Source organism: Homo sapiens, chromosome 1 (genome assembly GCF_000001405.40).
Source record: "Homo sapiens chromosome 1, GRCh38.p14 Primary Assembly".
Taxonomy (NCBI): Eukaryota; Metazoa; Chordata; class Mammalia; order Primates; family Hominidae; genus Homo; species Homo sapiens.
This window is the reverse complement of record NC_000001.11, coordinates 219,606,518-219,613,473: the sequence shown is the minus strand read 5'-3', so window position 1 is coordinate 219,613,473 and position 6,956 is coordinate 219,606,518. Positions and strand designations below refer to the sequence as shown.

Genomic DNA, 6,956 nt, shown 5'->3' with positions numbered 1-6,956 from the left:
TATTTTTCTCTTGTTATGGCTTATACTTTCCTGATCCTTTGCATTTTAAATAATTTTTGTTAGGATGTTAGACATTGTAAATATTTTATTGAAAGTCTAGATTTTGGGCTGGGCGTGGTAACTCATGCCTGTAATCCCAGCACTTTGGGAGGCCGAGGCGGGCAGATCACGAGGTCAGGAGATCGAGACCATCCTGGCTAACACGGTGAAACCCCGTCTCTACCAAAGATATAAGAAATTAGATCTTAGGCATCGCGTCATAGAGGAACTACATCTTCCAGAACCCTCGCGCCCTGCGTCGTGCTGGCACTTTTACCGGCCGGGCCTTAGAGCGCAGCCTGTAGCCGGGCGCCATCTTTGACGCTGGCAGTCTTGGTTTTCTGCTAGTGCTGCTGCTGCTGGGAGGACGACGGACGGCAGCGGCCAAGCAAGAAGAAAGACGTGGCAGCAAGCGGGAGTCGGGGATAGTGTCATCGGTTCGGGTCCCACTACTTTGGAGCTTGTCTCAAACTCCACATACAGAAAGCCACCAACCTTATTCCGGTATCCTACACCCATTCCCCACCCTCATTACACTCCCACCCCTGGCCCTCAGCATGGGAGTCAAGAGCAACAGGGACACTTCCGTACTCCTTGTAGGATTGGTGAAACCGTAATGAAGAACACCCCTAAACTCCCATAATTGGTGCGGATTCCTGTGGGGAAGGCCTATACTGTTGACATCTTCCAGGCCATCTCAAGGTTCTGGACCTTGAGAAGGAGGCTGTGGAACTAGAGATAGTGATGCTTTTTAGGATTTGGGGATATTCCCTGCCCAAAAAATTCCTGGAAAATTGACTAGTATTAAGTGTGAAGAAATCTTGAAGACCAGAAATTGGATCTTACTGAAAAATGTTTTTTTGTTTTTCAGATTATATTGTTCAGCTATGGAAGATGGATTTTTTTTCATGATCCTTTGACTCTCAAGTTCATCTTTAAATGAACTCTTTTTTTTGTTTTGTTTTTGAGGAGATAACTAACCCTTGCTGTCTCCAGTCTGACAAAGGTTATTTGAATGGACTTAATCTCCCAGTAGTTGGGAGATGTTTTAAAAACACATGCTGTGTTTGAATTGTGGCTGAGAGGTTTTCTTGGCAATGTGAGGAGGAAAATTTTTTCTGCCTCATTATTATTAATTCATGGATTGAGTGTTGGTTCGACCTACAGGCATAATAGATTGGAACTCAGTGAAGACACAGACGTTCCTGTTGAGAGCAACCAGCTAATGATTACAGTTTAAAGACAATTTCTGTGATCAAGTTGTCATTTGGAAGATTAAACCCATTTCACGAGGACTTGGAGCCTGGTCCTTGCTTTGAGGAAGCAGTGGCTTGTTTCAAGAAGCCACTTCTGATCTAAGAATCTACCCAGCATGCCTAATCAAGGAGAAGACTGCTATTTTTTTTTCTATTCTACATGTACCAAAGGTGACAGCTGCCCATTCCGTCACTGTGAAGCTGCACTAGGCAATGAAACTGTTTGCACATTATGGCAAGAAGGGCGCTGTTTTCGACGGGTGTGCAGGTTTCGGCACATGGAGATTGATAAAAAACGCAGTGAAATTCCTTGTTATTGGGAAAATCAGCCAACAGGATGTCAAAAATTAAACTGCGTTTTCCATCACAATAGAGGACGATATGTTGATGGCCTTTTCCTACCTCCGAGCAAAAGTGTGTTGCCCACTGTGCCTGAGTCACCAGAAGAGGAAGTGAAGGCTAGCCAACTTTCAGTTCAGCAGAACAAATTGTCTGTCCAGTCCAATACTTCCCCTCAGCTGCGGAGCGTTATGAAAGTAGAAAGTTCCGAAAATGTTCCTAGCCCCAAGCATCCACCAGTTGTAATTAATGCTGCAGATGATGATGAAGATGATGATGATCAGTTTTCTGAGGAAGGTGATGAAACCAAAACACCTACCCTGCAACCAACTCCTGAAGTTCACAATGGATTACGAGTGACTTCTGTCCGGAAACCTGCAGTCAATATAAAGCAAGGTGAATGTTTGCATTTTGGAATAAAAACTCTTGAGGAAATTAAGTCAAAGAAAATGAAGGAAAAATCTGAGGAGCAAGGTGAGGGTTCTTCAGGAGTTTCCAGTCTTTTACTCCACCCTGAGCCTGTTCCAGGTCCTGAAAAAGAAAATGTCAGGACTGTGGTGAGGACAGTAACTCTCTCCACCAAACAAGGAGAAGAACCCTTGGTTAGATTGGGCCTTACTGAGACACTGGGGAAACGAAAATTTTCGACAGGCGGTGACAGTGATCCTCCATTAAAGCGTAGCCTGGCACAGAGGCTAGGGAAGAAAGTTGAAGCTCCAGAAACTAACACTGACGAAACACCAAAGAAAGCTCAAGTTTCCAAGTCTCTTAAGGAGCGATTAGGCATGTCAGCTGATCCAAATAATGAGGACGCAACAGATAAAGTTAATAAAGTTGGTGAGATCCATGTGAAGACATTAGAAGAAATGCTTCTTGAAAGAGCCAGTCAGAAACATGGGGAATCGCAAACTAAACTCAAGACAGAAGGACCTTCAAAAACTGATGATTCTACTTCAGGAGCAAGAAGCTCCTCCACTATCCGTATCAAAACCTTCTCTGAGGTCCTGGCTGAAGAAGAACATAGGCAGCAGGAAGCAGAGAGACAAAAAAGCAAAAAGGATACAACTTGCATCAAGCTAAAGACTGATAGTGAAATTAAAAAAACAGTAGTTTTGCCACCCATTGTTGCCAGCAAAGGACAATCAGAGGAGCCTGCAGGTAAAACAAAGTCCATGCAGGAGGTGCACATGAAGACGGTGGAAGAAATTAAACTGGAGAAGGCACTGAGGGTGCAGCAGAGCTCTGAGAGCAGCACCAGCTCCCCGTCTCAACATGAGGCCACTCCAGGGGCAAGGTTGCTGCTGCGAATCACCAAAAGAACATGGAGGAAAGAAGAGAAGAAACTTCAGGAAGGAAATGAAGTTGATTTTCTGAGCCGTGTTAGAATGGAAGCTACAGAGGCTTCAGTTGAGACCACAGGAGTTGACATCACTAAAATTCAAGTCAAGAGATGTGAGATCATGAGAGAGACGCGCATGCAGAAACAGCAGGAGAGGGAAAAATCAGTCTTGACACCTCTTCAGGGAGATGTAGCCTCTTGCAATACCCAAGTGGCAGAGAAACCAGTGCTCACTGCTGTGCCAGGAATCACATGGCACCTGACCAAGCAGCTTCCCACAAAGTCATCCCAGAAGGTGGAGGTAGAAACCTCAGGGATTGCAGACTCATTATTGAATGTGAAATGGTCAGCACAGACCTTGGAAAAAAGGGGTGAAGCTAAACCCACAGTGAACGTGAAGCAATCTGTGGTTAAAGTTGTGTCATCCCCCAAATTGGCCCCAAAACGTAAGGCAGTGGAGATGCACCCTGCTGTCACTGCCGCTGTGAAGCCACTCAGCTCCAGCAGCGTCCTACAGGAACCCCCAGCCAAAAAGGCAGCTGTGGATGCTGTTGTCCTGCTTGACTCTGAGGACAAATCAGTCACTGTGCCTGAAGCAGAAAATCCTAGAGACAGTCTTGTGCTGCCTCCAACCCAGTCCTCTTCAGATTCCTCACCCCCGGAGGTGTCTGGCCCTTCCTCATCCCAAATGAGCATGAAAACTCGCCGACTCAGCTCTGCCTCAACAGGAAAGCCCCCACTCTCTGTGGAGGATGATTTTGAGAAACTAACATGGGAGATTTCAGGAGGCAAATTGGAAGCTGAGATTGACCTGGATCCTGGGAAAGATGAAGATGACCTTCCGCTTGAGCTATGAGAAATGATTGATAGCTGAAGGTGGTAGTGAGGACACTTTAAAAAAAAATCGCCAAAAAACTGGACTTAGTTTCATCTATTGTAACATTTACCTGAGATGATCATTTCTTTAGTCTAGAATTTGCCCCAAATCAGAAGTATACCTCTGAATTATCTGTATGTGTCCTGGATTCCTTGGGGTCAGATTTTTAAAGTTACTTTATAACCATTTTGTCCATTTGATGCCATTGTTTATCATCTTTTGAGAAAAAAGTTCTGTCATACCCTTCTCTCCACAAAAAAGAGACTGAGGGGGAGATCAAGTGAAAGGGTGCAAGCAAACTTAGTGACTCCTTGAGGTGTTTGTCAGTTTTGGCTTTTTTCTCCTTTGTTGTATTCTTTATGTATTGTCTTAATGTACTTAATATTACCTGAGTTTGAAATGGATGAAGACAGCTGCTACCATTAAGGGCCAAATTTTATGCTACCACTAAACAAAAATACCCACTCAGTCTGTGTTAAATTGTATGTCTTTTTAAAGGTATTTAGAGATTCAACTAAGCTTTAAAGAGGGCTGAGCAACTCAGGAAGCCTGTAATGTGGGCATAACTCTTTGGACCTGATCTTGATGCTTCTGCTGCTCTGTTGGCCTCTGAAGAGCAATATCTAATTTATTATTACTGTAATTTTTTAAAAGGCTTTAAAGTGCCTCAGGGGTCCCCTGAAACTAATTTTCTATTTCTGGGATTCCCTGGATTCATTATATGAGATGGTGACATGATTAGAGGAATTCTTTTTTAGTATGAAAATTGTTCCTTTTCTTCTTCAGTACTTGCCTCCTTGCTGGCATTGAATTAACACAGGGACAAAATTTGGTTAATTTTTTATTTCTAATTCTCCCAACAAACCCCTGTTGCCCAGTATTTATGTGGTGGCCTTTAACCACCTGAGGGAAAAAATGAGCTTATTCAAGCTGCCAATATTTATCTATGGGCTGTAGCAGTACACTGAATTGTACTGTGCCAGGGATATTGAGATGCTCTGGGGGTGTATTGTATACCTGCCAGTTTTCTTCATTTCTGAATTGGGTTTTCTCTTCTTGATGTTGGTTTCCTTCATATCACCTCAAGGTTTAGATTTGTGAAGGAATAAGCATGATGGAAATAATAGTCTTGAAAGGAGATATGTTGTATATAATCAGGAGGAAGAGGAAGGCAGGACTTACTCATTTTGATATTTTGCTGTAGGTGGCCAGTTTTGTTTCTCATAGGGAAATCTGACCCACCTGTCATGTTGGCTCCTAAGGAACTGCTGTTGTAAGCGGCTCATCAAGAGTTGAACTTCAAGTAGCCTTGTTGGGAATATGGAAAAGGAAGAAAGCCACAGGACTGCCCATTCAGTCTTGTTAAGATTGGGATGATTCTGCACAAGCAAAAATGACTCGAAATTTATGTATCGACACACCTCTACCAATCCATCTTCAGCTGACTGAATGTTGTATGATAGCCCTTCTCCAAAGCAGGGGTAGAATGTTCAGGTTTCACCACGGATTTTCTACTTATTTCGCTTTTGGAATCAGCTTACAGATTCCAGGTCCCTTTTGTATATATTCTTTATTCTTTTGCTTTTTTAAAAAATAAACTTGTATTAGTCAATGTTTCGTGTTCCGCATTATTTGAACCATTTGCCCTTACAGAAAGAGAAATACTTGTTTGTGTTTTAAATAAAACTGATGTAGGATAAAAAAAAAAAGAAAGAAAGAAATTAGCCAGGCGTGGTGGTGGGTGCCTGTAGTCCCAGCTACTTGGGAGGCTGAGGCAGGAGAATGGTGTGAACCTGGGAGGCGGAGGTTGCAGTGAGCTGAGATCGTGCCACTGCACTCCAGCCTGGGCAGCAGAGCAAGAGTCCGTCTCAAAAAAAAAAAAAAAGAAAGTCTAGATTTTGTAGTCTTCCTCTGGAAAGCCGAATTTTGTTTTGCCAGGGAGTTAAGTTACTTACCATTCAACCTGATCCTTTTTAAGCGTATTTTTAAGTTTGGGAGTATGCGTCTAGAGTAAGTTTTTCTTTAGGGCTAATTTAATTATCCTTTTGAAGCACGCCTCTTCAGGAGGCTCGAGGAAATATTCAGGGTGGTCAGCAATGCCTCCATTCTGGCTGGCTGCAACTCAACCCCCAGCTCACAAATCCCAGTAGCTGTTTTTGCCTGGCCTCACAGAGTTTCATTTCATGCATATGTAGCCTAATATTCAATGAAGGACTCAGGATAGCTGCCTGTATAGATTTCTGGAGTTCTTTCTCTCTGTGCCTCACATTTCAGCTCTTTTAGCTCCTTTAACTCTGATCTCTGTCTATTAAATTCAGTAAGTTGGATCTGCCTTGTCATGGTTCCTCCTCTCTTACTGCAGTCTTGGAAGTGCCTACATCCAGAAAGCCATGTTGGTTCTAGGGCTTACCTCATTTCTTTTCCTGTTGTGAAGACTCACACTTCTGTGCTGTGTCTGTTTTCTAACGTCTGAAAACAGCTGTCTCATGTATTTTGTCCAATTTCCTAGCTGTTTACAGCAGAGAGACAGATTTGGTACCAGTTATTCTATCACATTGAGAAGTGATAGTCCCTAAACTTGCTCTAAACATGTTTAGATTTAATGTGAACAACTAATGTTTCCATTTTCAGTTTCTCTTAGCAGTTTTCAGGAGCTTCAATCCATTAATTCTCAAATACATCCATAAATCACTTGGAATATCTTAATGCATTGTATGAAAGATAATTCCTCCTCTGTACCCATCATCACCACTCTTCCTTTAAATTGTGGGATATGTTTTTCTGAGACTGTGGCTTTAGTGTGTACGAGAAAAATTCAGTTGTTATCCCCTCATTTTGGGGAGTAAAAATAATAAGAATGAGGAGCATTATAGTATCTAATCTTGTCCAACAAAAACCTAGGTAACTTTGGAAGTTTTCTTCTCTCTCCCCCACTCTCCCACTTCTATGTGTGTATAAGTGTGTTTATTGAATAAAGAGCCTTTTATTTTTATTTATTTATTTATTTGAGATGATGTCTCACTGTCATCCAGGCTGGAGTGCAGTGGTGTGATCTCAGCTCACTGCAGCCTCCACCTCCCGGGTTCAAGCGATTCTTCTGCCTCAG

General features: G+C 42.7%; 1 protein-coding gene across 1 annotated transcript; it reads left to right on the top strand.

Moving 5' to 3' along the window:
* Nucleotides 1-368: 368 nt before the first annotated feature.
* ZC3H11B (zinc finger CCCH-type containing 11B) lies at nucleotides 369-5,462 on the top strand. Its single transcript, NM_001355457.3, has 2 exons — nucleotides 369-543; nucleotides 911-5,462. The coding sequence occupies exon 2, from the start codon at nucleotides 1,412-1,414 to the stop codon at nucleotides 3,827-3,829; it is 2,418 nt and encodes an 805-aa protein (NP_001342386.1). The 5' UTR covers nucleotides 369-543; nucleotides 911-1,411; the 3' UTR covers nucleotides 3,830-5,462.
* Nucleotides 5,463-6,956: the final 1,494 nt, after the last annotated feature.

Excerpts from the sequence above, each read along its gene's own strand:
- ZC3H11B (NM_001355457.3), top strand. The coding sequence starts at position 1,412 with ATGCCTAATCAAGGAGAAGACTGCTATTTTTTTTTCTATTCTACATGT.